The sequence below is a fragment of the Homo sapiens genome, chromosome 9, assembly GCF_000001405.40.
Source record: "Homo sapiens chromosome 9, GRCh38.p14 Primary Assembly".
Taxonomy (NCBI): Eukaryota; Metazoa; Chordata; class Mammalia; order Primates; family Hominidae; genus Homo; species Homo sapiens.
Window position 1 is genome coordinate 74072878 of NC_000009.12, and position 18773 is coordinate 74091650.

General features: G+C 40.9%; 5 annotated features.

Annotated features, from left to right (window-relative positions):
* Positions 12370 to 12933: an enhancer, noted in NCBI's record as "OCT4-NANOG-H3K27ac hESC enhancer chr9:76700163-76700726 (GRCh37/hg19 assembly coordinates)". NCBI's record gives its function as "activates a minimal SCP1, AML or CMV promoter by ChIP-STARR-seq in naive and primed H9 embryonic stem cells {active_cell/tissue: H9 hESC(naive and primed)}" and the evidence as "EXISTENCE:reporter gene assay evidence [ECO:0000049][PMID:30033119]".
* Positions 12934 to 13497: an enhancer, noted in NCBI's record as "OCT4-NANOG-H3K27ac-H3K4me1 hESC enhancer chr9:76700727-76701290 (GRCh37/hg19 assembly coordinates)". NCBI's record gives its function as "activates a minimal SCP1, AML or CMV promoter by ChIP-STARR-seq in naive and primed H9 embryonic stem cells {active_cell/tissue: H9 hESC(naive and primed)}" and the evidence as "EXISTENCE:reporter gene assay evidence [ECO:0000049][PMID:30033119]".
* Positions 13498 to 14061: an enhancer, noted in NCBI's record as "NANOG-H3K27ac-H3K4me1 hESC enhancer chr9:76701291-76701854 (GRCh37/hg19 assembly coordinates)". NCBI's record gives its function as "activates a minimal SCP1, AML or CMV promoter by ChIP-STARR-seq in naive H9 embryonic stem cells {active_cell/tissue: H9 hESC(naive)}" and the evidence as "EXISTENCE:reporter gene assay evidence [ECO:0000049][PMID:30033119]".
* Positions 15750 to 16313: an enhancer, noted in NCBI's record as "H3K27ac hESC enhancer chr9:76703543-76704106 (GRCh37/hg19 assembly coordinates)". NCBI's record gives its function as "activates a minimal SCP1, AML or CMV promoter by ChIP-STARR-seq in primed H9 embryonic stem cells {active_cell/tissue: H9 hESC(primed)}" and the evidence as "EXISTENCE:reporter gene assay evidence [ECO:0000049][PMID:30033119]".
* Positions 17963 to 18549: an enhancer, noted in NCBI's record as "OCT4-NANOG-H3K27ac hESC enhancer chr9:76705756-76706342 (GRCh37/hg19 assembly coordinates)". NCBI's record gives its function as "activates a minimal SCP1, AML or CMV promoter by ChIP-STARR-seq in naive H9 embryonic stem cells {active_cell/tissue: H9 hESC(naive)}" and the evidence as "EXISTENCE:reporter gene assay evidence [ECO:0000049][PMID:30033119]".

Below are 18773 nucleotides of genomic sequence, written 5' to 3' on the forward strand. Positions count from 1 at the left end.
GGGAAATTTTTGTGGATGATATTCTCTAACATATTTTCCAAGTTGCTTACTTTCTCTCCCTCTTTTTCAAGGATGCCATTGAGTTGTAGATTTGTTTCTTTACATAATACCATATTTCTCTGAGGTTTTGTTTACTTTTTTTTCTTCATTTTTGTCTGAGTAAATTAATTTGGAGAACTAGTCTTCAAGCTGTGAAATTCTTTCCTCAGCTTGGGCTATTGTGCTTTTAAAGCTTGCCATTGTATTATGAAGTTCTCGTAGTGTCCTTTTCAGCTCCATTAGATCACTTTGGTTCTTTCTTAAAGTCATTTCATCTTTCAGCTCCTATACTGTTTCATGTATTCCTTAGATTTCTTGAATTGGGCTTCAACTTTCTCCTGAATCTCAATGATCTTCATTCTTATCCATATTCTGAATTTCACATCTGTCATTTCAGCTATTTCAGTCTGGTTAATAACCATTGCTAAGAAACTAGTGCAGTTGTTTGGAGCTGAGAAGACACTCTGACTTTTTCAGTTGCCAGAGTTCTTGCACTGGTTCTTTCTTAACCGTGTGGGCTGATGTTCCTTTAATCTCTGAAGTTACCGTTCGTGGATGGGGTTTTTCGCTTTTGTATCCTTTGATGCCCTTTGGTGGTTTGATTGTGAATTAAGGTGGGTTTGGTCAACTGGCTTTGATTCCGCCCCTTGAGATTAGGAACCTGCTGTACTAGATGACCTGAAGTGTTCCTGGTCCACTAGCTCCAACACCCAGCCAAAACACTTTGTTCAGGTGGTAGCAGCAATATCCATGCTCACTCATGTTTGCCAGTGTAACTGCCCAGTGGGTTCACCTTGCCTGCTTCCTAGACAGAGCCAATTTATCAAGGCAGGGGAATTACAATAGAGAAAGATTAATTCATGCAGAGCTGGCTGTGCAAGAGAACAGAATTGTATTATTATTACTCTAATCAGTCTCCCTGACAATTCAGGGATCGGAGTTTTTTTCTTGTTGTTGTTTTTGTTTTTAATTAAAAAGCAAACTTTAATGTCAAAAATGCAAACTTGAGGAGGGCAGAAAGATCACACACAAGGCTATCACTTCACACTTGGAGGGTTGCACAGTGGCCAGGCAGCGGTGCTCCTCACTTCCTAGATGATGCGGGGGGCTGGGCAGAGGTGCTCCTTACTTCCCAGACAGGGCTGCAGCTGCACAGAGGTGCTCCTCACTTCCGAGACAGTGGGCAGCTGGGCAGAGGTGCTCCTCACTTCCCAGATGGTGAAGCGGGCAGGCAGAGGTGCCCCTCACTTCTCAGAAGGTGGGGGGACCAGGCAGAGGCGCTCCTCACTTGCCAGATGGAGCGGTGGCTGGGCAGAGGTGCTCCTCATATCCCAGATGGTAGGGGCGCCTTTTAAGGATAACTTGGTGGACAGGGGGACAGTGATTCAGGTGTGCTGATTAGTTGAGTTGGAGATGAAATCATAAGCAGACAAAGCTATCCTCTTATGCTGAGTTACTTCCTGGGTGGGAGCCACAAGACCAGATGAGCCAGTTTATCCATCTGGGTGGTACCAACTGATCCATCAAGAACAGGGTCCGCAAAATATCTCGAGCACTGATTTGGATTTTGCATTTGTAATATTATCCCCAGGAGCAATTTGGAGATGTTTAGAATCTTGTGGCCTCCAGCTGCATGACTCCTAATTTCTGATCTTGTGGCTAATTTGTTAGTCCTGCAAAGGCAGTCTAGCCCCCAGGCAGAAAAGGGGTTTGTTTGAGGAAAGGGCTGTTATCATCTTTGTTTCAAAGCTAAACTATAAACTAAGTTCCTCCCAAAGTTAGTTCATCCTATGCCTAGGAATGAACAAGGACAACTTGGAGATTAGAAGCAAGGTGGAGTTGGGTTAGGTTAGAACTCTTTCACTATCTCAATTATAATTTTGCAATGGCAGTTTCACCAACAGCTGCAGCAGTGTGGCGGGTTGCCTGCACATAGGTGGGGCAGCGATGGGGGTGCCAGCATCAGTGCACACACTCATCCCAGTGGTGGTGGTGGCACAGCAGGCCCACTCATCTGTCATTGAACATTTAGGCTGTTTTCATTTGTTGGTTATTGTGAATAATACTGAAATAAACAAGGAACTGCAGACATCTCTTCAAGATCCTAATTTCAGTTCTTTTCGATATATGCCCAGAATTGTCATTGCTGGATCATATGGTCATTTTACTTTTAATTTTTAGAGGAACATCTTCATACTGTTTGCCATAAAGGCTGCACCATTTTGCATTTCCAGCAGTGTACAAGGATTCTAATTTCCCCACATCTTCACCAACATCTTATTTTCTTTTTTATTTAATAGTGGCCATCCTAACAAGTTTGAGATGATATCCCATTGTTCCTTCAATTTGCATTCCCCTGGTGATGATGAGTATCTTTTCATACATATATTGGCCACTTATATGTCATCTTTGGAGAAATGTCCTTGCAAGTATTTTGCCCATCTTTCAGTATTTTTTTTTTTTTGCTATTAAGTTGCAGGATTTCTTTATATATTTTGGATGTTAACCTCTTATCAGGTATATGGTTTTTAAATATTTTTGCCCATTCAATATGTTGCCTTTTCATTCTGTTGATTGGCTTGCAGAACAGAGCCATTTTAGCTTGATATAGTCCCACTTGTCTATTTTTGCTTTTGTTGCATGTGCTTTTGGTGTCATATCCAAGAAATCATTGCCAAAAATCAATGTCATAAGGTGTTTCTCCTGTGTTCTCTTCTATGATGTTTACAGTTTTAGGTATTATATTTAAGTCATCAATATCCATTTTGAGTTAATTTTTGTGTATGATGTAAAATAAGAGTCCAATTTCATTCTTTTGTACATGAATCTTTATTTTTTTCAACATCATTTTTTGAAGAAACTTTCATTCCTCCATTGTGTATAATTGGCTCTTGTGTCAAAAATCAGTTGATGGTATATGCGTGGGATTATTCCCCATGCTTTCTATTCTGTTTCATTGGTTTATATACCTGTCTTTATGCCAGTTCTTTATTAGTCTGTTCAGGCTTTTATAACAAAAATACCATAGACTTGGTGGCTTAAACAATCAACATTCATTCCTTACAGTTCTGGAGACTGGGAAGACCAAGATCAATGCACTGGTGATTTGTTGTTGGTGAGGATCTGCTTAATGGATCACAGACAGTCATCTTCTCACTGTGTCCTCACATGGCAGAAAAGAACTAGAGAACTTTATTTTTTTTTTAAATAAAATAAGGCCACTAAGGCCATTTATGAGGGTTCCATCCTTGTTATTTAATTACTTCCTGAAGACCCCATTTCCCAATATAATCACTCTGGGGGTTACTGTTTCAACACAGAAATTTGGACAGACACAAATATTCAGTCTATAGCAAGTACCATACTGCTTTAATTACTGTAGCCTTGTAACATACAGACATACCTCAGAGATATTGTGGTTTCAATTCCAGATTACCTCAATAGAGCAACCATTGCAATAGAGACTCACGTAAAATTTTTTTGTTTTCTAGTAGACATAAAAATGATGCTTACATTCTACTGTGGTGTACTTAATGTTCACTATGTGTAAGAAACAATGAACAGATCTTAATTTAAAAATACTTTATTGCTAAAAAGTTGCTAATGTATTAGTCTTTTCTCATGCTGCTATGAAGAAATACCCAAGACTGGGTAATTTATAAAGAAAAGAGGTTTAATTGACTCATAGTTTCACATGGCTTGGAAGGCCTCAGGAAACTTACAATCATGACAGAAGGTGAAGGGGAAGAAAGGCACCTTCTTCACAGGGCAGTAGAAAGGAGAAGTGTTGAGCAAAAAGGGAAAAGCCCCATATAACACCATCAGATCTCACGAGAACTCACTCACTATCATGAGAATAGCATGGGGAAAACTTCTCCCATGATTCGATTACCTCATACTGGGTCCCTCCCACAACATGTGAGGATTATGGAAACTACATTTCAAGATGTTATTTGGCTAGAGACACAGCCAAACCATATTATTCCACCCTTGGCCCCTGTACTTATATTTTGAAATGAAATCATGCCTTCCCAACAGTTCCCTCCAAAGTCTTAACTCATTCCAGCATTAACCCAAAAGTCCATGTCCAAAGTCTCATCTGAGACAACGCAAGTTCCTTCTGCCTATGAGTCCATATAATCAAAAGCAAGTTAGTTACTTTCTAATCATAATAAAGTTATAGGCATTGGGTAAATACACCCATTCCAAATGGGAGAAATTAGTCAAAATGAAAGGAAATAGCCCCCATGACAGTCCAAAATTCAGTAGGGCATTCATTAAACCTTAAGTTCTAAAATGATCTTTGACTCTATGTCTCACACGCAGGTCATGCCAATGCAAAAGGTGGACTCCCACGGCCTTTGGCAGCTCCACCCCTGTGGCTTTGCAGGTATATCCTTAAAATTTTTATTTCTTAATTAATAAGACTTGAAAGTGAAATTACTCTTGATCCATGGGCTATAGAATGGATGCTGTGTTAGCAGACATAAAAAAAACATTAAGCCAATAAGGAGTTTTCAAGATGGCTGGCTAGGGACATTGGAGGTCAGTTCTCCTCAGAAAGAAGATCAAAATTACTCAAAAATGGATAAGTTCTGAACAGAAAACTGAAAAAAGAGAGCTATGCTTTGTCAGAGTGCCCACAGAGAGAAGCCAGGGCACAGAAAAGGAAAATCAGCAGGAGTCTGGCAGAGACTGACCCCCAAGGAATTTGAAGCCCCATGGAAATGATAGGTGAAAGTGCTTCCCTGCTCCGCTCAGCCTTCTGACAATCTGCTGATAGTGAAACTCTTGGGGAGTTCCTCTGTCCTCACAACCCAGGTAATGCCATCAGTGGCAATTTGGGAACTTCCTGGGGACAGCTACCTGAGTGGCCAACTCACACAGATGTTCCTGCATTTCTCTCTGACTGAACTGAGATTATTGGTGTCACACTGGTTATGCCCATGGTAGGACATGACCTTGCTTGGGATTACTTGCCCTTGTGTCACTATACCACCACAATCCCTGCAAACATACTCCCACAACCTGCCTTGACTTTGTTAAACACAGGGCCACCAGTGGTGCCCTGAAGAGCTGCAGGGCCCCTGGAGATCTAACCCTCAGTATGGACCACCCCTAAGGGAAGGGGAAGCACAGCTCGCCAAAGCCACTCAGTACAAAGGAGATGCAGGCACTGGGCTAATTGCAGCATCGACCCAGGAATAGACATGAAGATGGGGTCACCTCCCATCCACCAGCAACCTCCCTGTACACTGCCGCAGGTGCAGCAGCAGTTCTTTGCACTGGGAGCCAATGAGAGTGTGCACTGGGGGAAAGCATTTTTCACACTTTTCATGTCTGTTGCCCTCTACCCCCCAAGTAAACCCTGACTTCTGGGGCTTTCACAGTGGGGGCGGGGGCCAAGCTACCCCTCCCTACATAGAGTGGCAGTGCCTGGCAATGAAGAAGATACTGTGGAAATTCCTTCCCTAGAGAGCGAGAAGAGACTATGCCCCAAGCCCCACTTTTAATGGTAGCCATCAGAAAGGCATATCCATAACCCACAGTGGCACACTGCAGTTGGGAACCAAAGGACAAAATCCTTAAACTGAAGGTCATGAGCCCTGTGACAGAGGCATGATAGGGAAGCAGATTATGTTTTTCCTAAATCAGGATAAGGAGCTGGTGAACCCTCCACCCTTTCCACGAGACCTCAGTGCACCCCAACACAATCTCTTCCCACCATCCTCATCAGGAAGGTGCTTCCACTTAGCAGCAGCCTATCTGTCAGCTCTTACTCATAAGCATCATCTAATAGACTGCAGCCTGAACTGCACCACCAAATTAAAAACCTGCTACTGAATTGGCTTAGTTCTAGTCCATGAGTTAAGCTTTCTGAGACCTCCACACCCTCAGCTCTTCAGGAGATAGTGTGCTGACTCATACATCTAATATGTCACTCCAACAAGCAACACTGAATTCACCACAAAAGGAATTTCACCACTAAAGGAATTACCATTAAAATATTCACCACTAAAGGAATTTCAAAAGCTATCCACAACCAAGGAGCCCATAGAGAGCCTTGGCCCCCTGAACAGTATCCCAAAATGAAGCAAAACAATCATACACAACATATACCACAGACATAACCTCAAGGAAAAAAGAATTTAAAAATTTAAAACCCCATCCAAATGATAGTGAATTCAAAAATAAGAAGTGAGAGCTACCTCAGATGAGGAGGAATTAGCATAAGAACTCCAGCAGTTTGAAAAGCCAGTGTTGTGAAACTTTCAAAGGATCATATCAGCTTTCTAGGAGTGGATCCTATATACATTGAAGTGTCTGGAATGACAAGTAAAGAACTCAGCATATTGATTTTGAGGAAACTCAACAAGATCCAAGAGAAAATGGAAATTCAATTAAAAAACCAAAAATAATACAGAAATATGAAAGATAAGACAGCTATATTTTTAAAAAATAGAATTTCTAGAATTAAAAAATTTACTAAAGGAATTTCAAAATACAATTGTAAGCATTCACAATAGGCTAGATTAAGCACAAGAAGGAATTTCAGAGCCCAAAGACCAGTCTTTCAAATTAACCCAGTCGGACAAATATAAAGAAAAAAGTATTTAAAGAAATTAACAAAGCCTTTGAGAAACATGGAATTGTGTAAAATAACCAAATTTATTGGCATTCTTGAGAGCTAAAGATAAAAGGTAAGCAACTTGAAAAACATTTTTGAGGGAATAATTCAGGAAAAATTCCCTAATCTTGCTATAGAGATCCACATCCAAATACAAGAAATTCAGAGAACACCTGCGATAAACTATACAACACAACCATCCCCATGACATGTAATCAACAAATTATCCAAGGTCAACCCAAAAGGAAAAAATCTTAAAAGTAGCTAGAGAATAGGGGCAAATTACCTATAAGGGGAATCCCATCAGACTAACAGTAGGCTTCTCAGCAGAAATCTTTTAAGCCAGAAGATATTAGGGGCCTATTTTTAGCCTTCTTAAAAAGAATGCCAGCCAAAAATGTTATTTCCCACTGAACTCAGCTTCATAAATAGAGGAGAAAGAATATCTTTCCCAGAAAACAACATTAATCCACTTGTACATCTCCATCAGAACTCCTGGATGATTAGGTGCATTGTCAGTAAGCAGTAACAGTTTGAAAGAAATCTTTTTTCTCTGAGCAGTAAGTCTCAAAAGTGGGCTTAAAATATTTAGTAAATGATGCTGTAAACAGGTGTGCTTTCATCTAGCTGTCATTGTGGCATGTATAGAACACAGACAGAGTAGATTTAGCATAATTCTTAAGCATTCTAGGACTTTTAGAAAGGTGAATAAGCATTGGCTTCAACTCAAAGTCACTAGCTGCATTATCCCTTAACAAGAGAGGCAGACTGTCCATTGAAACTTTGAAACTAAGCATTGATTTCTCCTTTCTAGCTACAAAAGTCCTAGATGGCATCTTCTTTTAATATAAGGCTGTTTCATCTCTACTGAAAATCTATTGTTTATTGTGTATATCTTCATCAATTTTCTTAGCTAGTTTTCTGAATAACACAGTTATTCTGAATAAACACAGTTCATGGCACCCCAAAGCAATTTCAATAGTAACATCAAAGATCACTGATTACAGATAACCATAACATATTATAATAATAATGAAAAAGTTTGAAATGTTGCTAAAACTACCAAAATGAAGGCATGAAGTGAGCACATGCCTTTGGAAAATGGCACCAATAGACTTGCTCAATGCAGAGTTGCCACAGACCTTCAATTTGTAAAAAAAAAAAAAAAAAGCAGTATCTGAAAAGGGCAATAAAGTGAAGCACAATAAAATGTTTGTACTTTGAAATCAGCAAGTGTGACACTTGCAACTTTTTTGTTCCTCCTTAAGATTCTTTTTATTATTTGTTATTTATTTATTTATTTATTTATTTATTTATTTATTTATTTGAGACAGAGCGTCACTCTGTCACCTAGGCTGGAGTATAGTGGCATGATCTCCACTCACTGTAACCTCTGCCTCCCAGGTTCAAGTGATTCTCCTGCCTCAGCCTCAGAGTAGCTGGGATTACAGGTGCTGCCACCACGCCCAGCTAATTTTTGTATTTTTAGTAGAGACACGGTTTCGCCATGTTGGCCAGGCTCATCTCGAACTCCTGACTTTAGGTGATCCACCCACCTCGGCCTCCCAAAGTGCTGGGATTACAAGCATGAATCACCGGGCCTGGCCACCTTCTTAAGATTATTTTTTACTTTCCAGGGTCCTTTGTGGTTTCACATGAATTTTATGGTATCTTTTTCTATTTTTGTAAAAAATTTTATTGGAAATTTGATAGGAATTGCACTGAATCTTTAGATCACTTTGGGTAGTATATACATTTTAACAATATTGTCTTCTAATCCATGAACATGGATGTCTTTGTATTTATTTTTTTCTTTTTCAATTTATTTTATTTCATCAGTATTTTGCAGTTTTTAGTGAACAACTGCTTTACCTTTTTAGTTAAGTTTAATGCTACATATTTTATTCTTTTTGATGCTATTTGAAATGAGATTGTTTTCTTAATTTATTTCAGACAGTTTGTTGTTAGTGTACAAAATTATAAGAAATAGAAAATCTGAACAGACCAATGATAGTAAGGAGACTGAATCAGTAGTCAAAACCTCCCAACAAAGAAAAGTCCAGAACCAGATGGCTTCACTGGTGTATTCTGCCAAACATTTAAAGAAGAACTAACACCAGTCTTTTCAAACTCTTCCAAAAATTTGAAGAGGAGTGAATACTTCCAAACTCATTTTCTGAGTCCAGCATTGCCCTGATACCAAATCCTTATAACACTACAAAGAAAAAAAAAAAACAAAAAAAACTATAGGGCAATATCCCTGATGAACATAGATGAAAAAATTCATTACAAATACTAGCAAACTGAATTCAGAAGCACATTAAAAGGATTATATACTATAACCAAGTGAGATTCATCATTGGGACTCAAGAATGGTTCAACATAAGCAAGTCAATGAATACGATACACTATATGAACAGAATGAAGAATAACAGTGTATGATCCACCTCAACAGATACATAAAAAGTACTTGACAAAATCCAACATCTTTTCATGATAGAAACACTCCACAAACTAGGAACAGAAGAAAATTACCTCAACATGGTAAAGGCCATATATGAAAAGCTTAGAGCCAATATCATATCAAGTGTGAAAAACTAAAAGCCCTTCCTCTAAGATCAGAAAGAAAGCAAGTATGGCCACTTTCACCATTTCCATTCAATAGAGTACTGAATGTCCTAGCCAGAGCAATTAGGCAAGAAAAAGAAATAGAAATCATCCTAATGGAAAGGAAGAAATAAAGTTATCTCTGTTCACAAAGGTCATAATCTTATATGTAGAAAACCCTATGGACTCAACATACATCAAAAACTGTTTTTAAAACTAGCAAATGAATTCAGTAAAATTTCACAAAACAAAATCATCATGCAAAAATCAGTGGCCATTTAGAAGTATTACCTGACTTAAATATGTATCCAAGCCATTTGTTTAGTTTTCAGGAGCAATAGGGAAATAGTACTGATTTATCACTACAAAAAAGTGTTGACTGTATGCACCTGTATCTACATAATTGCAGCTACATATGAACATATTTTGTAGGGCATATAACGTAGGACACTAGCTCCCAAATGGCATTTAAATTAAAACCCTCTAAAATGTATTTGCTTTACACACTAGAGACAAATTGCTTGTGACGTCACCTTGCCCCAAGAGACAACATTGCTTTTTGCACACCCACAACATTTTGTCTTTAAAATATCTCTTCTCCTTCTGTTGTGAATGGAGAATTTTTAAATTGTTTCTAATTTTTTATGGTTGAAAGATAGAACTATATTTTCTGAAATAATCATGTTTAACTTTGAGTTAGGAAAACTTTGAGACCACTGAACAATTAACTTTGACATTCTTGGCTCTCTGAAAAGTGCCTAAGTTATGAAGAAGTACCATATTGTCTTATAGAGTACATTACATTGCTTTTTTTGTCATCATTGGAGGTAAATCTCAGGAATGTTAAGGAAGAAATGCACATCAAAAAATCAGCAAATTAGATTTTTCCCCAGATCTTTATGAGATGTGACATTAAAATATCTGGGCATTATACAAGCCAAAATATGATTGTCTCTGTTACAGGTCACTCCAATTTTTATTTTATTGTCCAGAATCCCATTTTTGGACAGAATACCATTTCTGAGACTTCATCATGTATATTTACACCAAGCAGGTGGTTAGGAAGTGCCATCTACCGATTGTTTTACTTTCTAATTTGTAGAGTCTATAATGCCCTTTCATATATCAAACTATAATTAAAACAAAACACATGGGAATAGAATCCAAGTATTACTTTAATAGCTTAGGCATTTGTGGTTAGTACAGATGACTTTTTTCTATTTGTTTTCAGAAGCCCAAATACCGTAAATAGAATCCTGCAGCAAGCCTTGTGTTTCAACTGTATAACAGAAGCTTGAACTGGGGATTTTTAACAATTCCACTTCAAAGGAAAGCAGACTAGTCAGTAGCTCAGTTTTGTCCTTTTGAAGCAAACAATAATAGATGTGCCAGTTTGCAAAATGTGCACATATGACTAGTGTATCAACATTGTTAAATAAAAGGTTATTGCATTAAATAAGATGACCTTGCTACCTTTTAGTCACAGTCTTAGAGAGCAAACTTGTTTTAATTAGCAGTCAGCAAGCAGACTGTAACTTCACTGAAGGAGCATTGAAGAATCACTGCCTATTAACAACCCAGCGGTAAGTAAGCCAGCACAAATACTTATAACCAAATAGTGTGCATTTCAGGAGTGGAAAGGATTAGCTATTGGGCACACAACACAGTGGAGGAAATTGCTTTATTCCCAGTACTGCTGGGTACCAGGAGGCAATCACTGTGCCTCCATCCCATTAACAGCATTCAGAGTGTTGCTTCCCATAGAAGGGGTTATTGGCTAACCACTGGGTGACCAATTAAATGCTATGAATAAGTCCCAAACCCAGCAGCATGGGGCCTGTTTGTGGCACAGTTGTATCATTACTAAAGTGAAAAACTTGATGAGAAAGGAACATATTTAATTATAGAACTATACAAATGGCTAATTAGGACCATAAAGTGAAATGAATGACTTTCCAGTGGATTTTTGAATGTTACTGATAACTGCTCAGCTTCTTTGGAGACCATGAAAGTGATCTACAGACAGAGCTTGCATGTCATGGTAATGGATGGATCTTCATTAGAGGAAGTTTTTTGACCTGGTTGCTCAGGTAGCATGGGTTCTAAAGACAATCCTTGATTCCTTTCACTGCAAGGGTTCTTTCACTCCAACCCCCTGGTCTCTCTTGAGTTCCGCTTGCTTTCACAATAATTCTTATGGGTTTAAATGCAGAAACATTATCTGCAATAGTCACTCTCTATCAGTTGGAAAACTGAATGGCAAAAGAGTGTCACTAGTTAGTGGGAAACACTGATCCATGCTTAAGTTTAGCTTTTAAACTCTAGGATTAATCCTAAAATCTGCAATTACACTTTGCTAATTCAGGCATCTCAATTGCTAAAATGTCATGAATCCTTTAAATGGAAGAATTATAATTTAAGGCTGTATCTACCTAGTGACTAAGATTAAATTAAGAAAAACAAAAAAAAGGAACATTGGAAATTGATCTGAAATCATGAAAATGAAAATCAATGTAATTGACTTCTTGCTATCAATTGCTGGAGCAAACTTTTGTTTTGGATGTGTTTGTGTGTTTTATGTTAATTTTGTAAGAACAGGTTTAATGATACTAATTTTATTTTTGTTTATCAAAAATGTAATAAACATCTATAATGTATAAATAACTGCACTAAAACTGTTCAGAAACATCACCTTCCTGGCAGAGTAAGAAATATTCAGTGCTATCAAAGAATTACATCCTTCTAGTCAGGTAACTATACAAAAGACTTACTTGATGTCACTTAATATTATTGAATGCTTGCCTTTGCTTTTATTTTTATAATTTAATTTTATTTTTATTAAACAAATTATTATTAAAAAATAAACAATTCTTCAATATGTATAGTAAAGAGAACAATTTTATCACCTCTGAACTCTGTCTACTAAATTTGCTAGTCACTATTATATTGTAAAGGGCATAGTAACCACCTTCCTGGTAATCAAGATTTGGTGAAAGATACTGATACTAGATGAGTTTATAAACATTGTGGCTAGAAATTTGAATGAGAATGCTATAAATTTTCCACATCGGTAAATACATTATATATTCCTAGATGATTTTATCCAGCAGCAAAGTCAAGGTCAATATAAATATGTACCCAATTCTGTTCCTGAGAATACTGGAATAGTGAAAATGTATATTGACTGACTCCATTTCCACCAATCACAAGAATACTTGTCATGAACTTGTTGATTGACTGCTTAGTCAGAATTCATATAAATATTATTTTATTTTTAGCTTGATCACTGAAATGATTTGGAGAGTTCTAAAGGTAGCACAGATCTCCAAAGATCATCTGACATGGACCTTTCTATCCAGGAAAGCTACATTTTACTCATCCAAGGAATTGATGGCTCCTTACGTTTAAAATATCCTCAGGTATGCAGAGCCTGTCAGGCCTCTGAGCCCAAGCCAAGCCATCACATCCCCTGTGACTTGCACATATATGCCCAGATGGCCTGAAGTAACTGAAGAATCACAAAAGAAGTGAATATGCCCTGCCCCACCTTAACTGATGACATTCCACCACAAAAGAAGTGTAAATGGCCAGTCCTTGCCTTAATTGATGACATTACCTTGTGAAAGTCCTTTTCCTGGCTCATCCTGACTCAAAAAGCACCCCCACTGAGCACCTTGCGACCCCCACTCCTGCCTGCCAGAGAACAAACCCCCTTTGACTGTAATTTTCCTTTACCTATCCAATCCTATAAAACGGCCCCACCCTTATCTCCCTTCGCTGACTCTCTTTTCGGACTCAGCCCGCCTGCACCCAGGTGAAATAAACAGCCATGTTGCTCACACAAAGCCTGTTTGGTGGTCTCTTCACATGGACGCGCATGAAATTTGGTGCCGTGACTCAGATCGAGGGACCTCCCTTGGGAGATCAATCCCCTGTACTCCTGTTCTTTGCTCCGTGAGAAAGATCCACCTATGACCTCAGGTCCTCAGACCGACCAGCCCAAGGAACATCTCACCAATTTTAAATCAGGTAAGCAGCCTCTTCTTACTCTCTTCAACCTCTCTCACTTTCCCTCAACCACTTTCTCCTTTCCACTCTTCAATCTCTCCCTTCTCTTAATTTCAATTCCTTTCATTTTCTGGGAGAGACAAAGGAGACACGTTTTATCCGTGGACCCAAAACTTCGGCGCTGGTCACGGACTGGGAAGGCAGCCTTCCCTTGGTGTTTAATCACTGCAGGGATGCCTCTCTGATTATACACCCATGTTTCAAGGGTGTTAGACCATGCAGGGACGCCTGCCTTGGTCCTTCACCCTTAGTGGCAAGTCCTGCTTTTCTGGGGAAGGGGCAAGTACCCCTCAACCCCTTCTCTCCTTGTCTCTACCCCTTCTCTGCTTTTCTGGGGCAGGGGCAAGTACCCCTCAACCCCTTCTCCTTCACCCTTAGTGGCAAGTCCCGCTTTTCTGGGGGAGGGGCAAGTACCCCTCAACCCCTTCTCTTTCACCCTTAGCGGCAAGTCCTGCTTTTCTAGGGGGCAAGAACCCCCAATCCCTTATTTCCGTGCCCCAACCCCTTATTTCTGTGCCCCGACCCCTTATTTCCATGCCCCGACCCCTTATTTCTGCGCCTCATCCCTTATTTCCATGCCCCGACCTCTTATCTCTGCGCCCCAACCCCTTTTCCCAGTTTTCTGGAAGGTAAGAACCCCCGAACCCCTTCCCTCCGTTTCTCTACTCTCTCTTTTCTCTAGGCTTGCTTCCTTCACTATGGGCAACCTTCCACCCTCCATTCCTCCTTCTACTCCCTTGGCCTGTGTTCTCAAAAACTTAAAACCTCTTCAACTCACACCTGACCTAAAACCTAAATGCCTTATTTTCTTCTGCAATGCCGCTTGACCCCAATACAAACTTGACAGTAGTTCCAAATAGCCAGAAAATGGCACTTTGAATTTTTCCATCCTGCAAAATCTAAATAATTCTTGTCGTAAAATAGGCAAACGGTCTGAGGTTCCTGACGTCCAGGCATTTTACACATCAATCCCTTCCTAGTCTCTGTGCCCAGTGCAACTCGTCCCAAATCTTCCTTCTTTCCCTCCCACCTGTCCCATCAGTACCAACCCCAAGCGTCACTGAGTCTTTCTAATCTTCCTTTTCTACAGACCCATCTGACCTCTCCCTTACTCCCCAGGCTGCTCCTCGCCAGGCCGAGCTAGGTCCCAATTCTTCCTCAGCCTCTGCTCCTCCACCCTATAATCTTTTTATCACCTCCCCTCCTCACACCTGGTCCAGCTTACAGTTTCGTTCCGTGACTAGCCCTCCCCAACCTGCCCAGCAATTTACTCTTAAAAAGGTGGCTGGAGCCAAAGGCATAGTCAAGGTTAATGCTCCTTTTTCTTTATCCCAAATCAGAAGCATTTAGGCTCTTTTTCATCAAATATAAAAATCCAGCCCAGTTCATGACTTGTTTGGCAGCAACCCTGAGACACTTTACAGCCCTAGACCCTAAAAGGTCAAAAGGCCGTCTTATTCTCAATATACATTTTATTACCCAATCTGCTCCCGACATTAAATAAAACTCCAAAAATTGGAGTCAGGCCCTCAAACCCCACACCAGGACTTAATTAACCTCACCTTCAAGGTGTACAATAACAGAAAAAAGTTGCAATTCCTTGCCTCCACTGTGAGACAAACCCCAGCCACATCTCCAGCACACAAGAACTTCCAAATGCCTGAACCGCAGCAGCCAGGCATTCCTCCAGAACCTCCTCCCCCAGGAGCTTGCTACACGTGCCAGAAATCTGGCCACTGGGCCAAGGAATGCCCACAGCCTGGGATTCCTCCTAAGCCGCGTCCCATCTGTGTGGGACCCCACTGAAAACTGGACTGTTTAACTCACCTGGTAGCCACTCCCAGAGCCCCTGGAACTCTGGCCCGAGGCTCTCTGACTCCTTCCCAGATCTTCTCGGCTTAGCGGCTGAAGACTGACACTGCCCAATGGCCTCGGAAGCCCCCTAGACCATCACGGACACCCAGCTTCAGGTAACTCTCACAGTGGAGGGTAAGCCCCTCCCCTTCTTAATCAATACGGAGGCTACCCACTCCACATTACCTTCTTTTCAAGGGCCTGTTTCCCTTGCCTCCATAACTGTTGTGGGTATTGACGGCCAGGCTTCTAAACCTCTTAAAACTCCCCAACTCTGGTGCCAACTTACACAATGCTCTTTTAAGCACTCCTTTTTAGTTATCCCCACCTGCCCAGTTCCCTTATTAGGCTGAGACACTTTAACTAAATTATCTGCTTCCCTGACTATTCCTGGACTACAGCTATATCTCATTGCCGCCCTTCTTCCCAATCCAAAGCCTCCTTTCGTTCTCCTCTCGTATCCTCCCACCTTAACCCACAAGTATAAGATACCTCTACTCCCTCCTTGGCGACCGATCATGCACCCCTTACCATCTCATTAAAACCTAATCACCCTTACCCCACTCAACGCCAATATCCCATCCGACAGCACACTTTAAAAAGATTAAAGCCTGTTATCACTCACCTGCTACAGCATGGCCTTTTAAACCCTATAAACTCTCCTTACAATTCCCCCATTTTACCTGTCCTAAAACCAGACAAGCCTTACAAGTTAGTTCAGGATCTGCGCCTTATCAACCAAATTGTTTTGCCTATCCACCCTGTGGTGCCCAACCCGTACACTCTTTTGTCCTCAATACCTTCCTCCACAACTCACTATTCCGTGCTTGATCTTAAAGATGCTTTTTTCACTATTCCCCTGCACCCCTCGTCCCAGCCTCTCTTTGCTTTCACTTAGACTGACCCTGACACCCATTAGGCTCAGCAAATTACCAAGGCTGTACTGCCGCAAGGCTTCATAGACAGCCCCCATTACTTCAGTCAAGCCCAAATTTCATCCTCATCTGTTACCTATCTCGGCATAATTCTTGTAAAAACATACATGCTTTCCCTGCTGATCGTGTCCGATTAATCTCCCAAACCTCAATCCCTTACAAAACAACAACTCCTTTCCTTCCTAGGCATGGTTAGTGTGGTCAGAATTCTTACACAAGAGCCAGGACTGCACCCTGTAGCCTTTCTGTGCAAACAAGTTGACCTTACTGTTTTAGCCTAGCCCTCATGTCTGCGTGCAGCAGCTGCCACTGCTTTAATACTTTTGGAGGCCCTCAAAATCACAAACTATGCTCAACTCACTCTCTACAGTTCTCATAACTTCCAAAATCTATTTTCTTCCTCATACCTGACGCATATACTTTCTTCTTCCCAGCTCCTTCAGCTATACTCACTCTTTGTTGAGTCTCCCACAATTACCATTGTTCCTGGCCCAGACTTCAATCCGGCCTCCCACATTATTCCTGATACCACACCTGACCCCCATGACTGTATCTCTCTGATCCACCTGACATTCACCCCATTTCCCCAAATTTCCTTCTTTCCTGTTCCTCACCCTGATCACACTTGATTTATTGATGGCGGTTCCACCAGGCCTAATCACCACACACCAGCAAAGGCAGGTTATGCTATAGTACAAGCCACTAGCCCACCTCTTAGAACCTCTCATTTCATTTCTATCGTGGAAATCTATCCTGAAGGACATAACTTCTCAGTGTTCCATCTGCTATTCTACTACTCCTCAGGGATTATTCAGGCCCCCTCCCTTCCCTACACATCAAGCTCAAGGATTTGCCCCACCCAGGACTGGCAAATTAGCTTTACTCAACATGCCCTGAATCAGATAACTAAAATACCTCTTAGTCTAGGTAGATACTTTCACTGGATAGGTAGAGGCCTTTCCTACAGGGTCTGAGAAGGCCACCGCAGTCATTTCTTCCCTTCTGTCCGACATAATTCCTCAGTTGAGCCTTCCCACCTCAATACAGTCTGATAACAGACGAGCCTTTATTAGTCAAATCAGCCAAGCAGTTTTTCAGGCTCTCTGTATTCAGTGAAACCTTTATATCCCTTATGGTCCTCCGTCTTCAAGAAAAGTAGAATGGACTAAAGGTCTTTTAAAAACACACCTCACCAAGCTCAGCCACCAACTTAAAAAGGACTGGACAATACTTTTAACACTTTCCCTTATCAGAATTCAGGCCTGTCCTCGGAATGCTACAGGGCACAGCCTATTTGAGCTCCTGTATAGACGCTCCTTTTTATTAGGCCCCAGTCTCATTCCAGACACCAGACCAACTTAGACTATGCCCCTAAAAAAACTTGTCATCCCTACTATCTTCTGTCTAGTCATACTGCTATTCACCGTTCTCAACTACTCATACATGCCCTGCTCTTGTTTACACTGCCGGTTTACACTGTTTTTCCAAGCCATCACAGCTGATATCTCCTCATGCTATCCCCAAACTGCCACTCTTAACTCTTGAAGTAAATAAATAATCTTTGTTGGCAGGACTATGCTGAATCTCCTTAGGCACTCTCTAATCAGATATCCTGAATCGTCCCAATTCTTAGACCTTTTATACCTGTTTTTCTCCTTCTGTTATTCCATTTAGTTTCTCAATTCATCCAAAACCATATCCAGGCCATCACCAATCATTCTATACGACAAGTGTTTCTTCTAACATTCCCACAATATCACCCCTTACCACAAGACCTCCCTTCAGCTTAATCTCTCCCACTCTAGGTTCCCACACTGCCCCTAATCCTGCTTGAAGCAGCCCTGAGAAACATCACCCATTCTCTCTCCATACCACCCCCCAAAAATTTTCGCCACCCCAACACTTCAACACTATTTTGTTTTATTTTTCTTAGTAATATAAGAAGGCAGGAATGTCAGGCCTCTGAGCCCAAGCCAAGCCATCACATCCCCTGTGACTTGCATGTATATGCCCAGATGGCCTGAAGTAACTGAAGAATCACAAAAGAAGTGAATATGCCCTGCCCCACCTTAACCTATGACATTCCACCACAAAAGAAGTGTAAATGGCTGGTCCTTGCCTTAACTGATGACATTACCTTGTGAAAGTCCTTTTCCTGGCTCATCCTGACTCAGAAAGCATCCCCACAGAGCACCTTGCGACCCCCACTCCTGCCCGCCAGAGAACAAACCCCCTTTGACTGTAATTTTCCTTTACCTACCCAAATCCTATAAAACAGCCCCACCCTTATCTCCCTTCGCTGACTCTCTTTTCGGTCTCAGCCCATGACTCTCTTTTCGGACTCAGCCCGCCTGCACCCAGGTGAAATAAACAGCCATGTTGCTCACACAAAGCCTGTTTGGTGGTCTCTTCACACGGACGCGCATGAAAGAGCCCACGATCTTCCTTTCAGGTTGATGCCCATCCTGATCATATCTATAACCAAAAAGGCATCCTTATATGATGGCTTTGCTTGGGCTTAGAGGCCTGACATTCTTAACTCCAGTTTCTCTTGTTAATATTTGTATATGTTTTGTCAACATCTGCCCCTGTATTTAGTGACCTCTAAAAACATTCCTCACCAGTTAAAAAGAGGCATAACT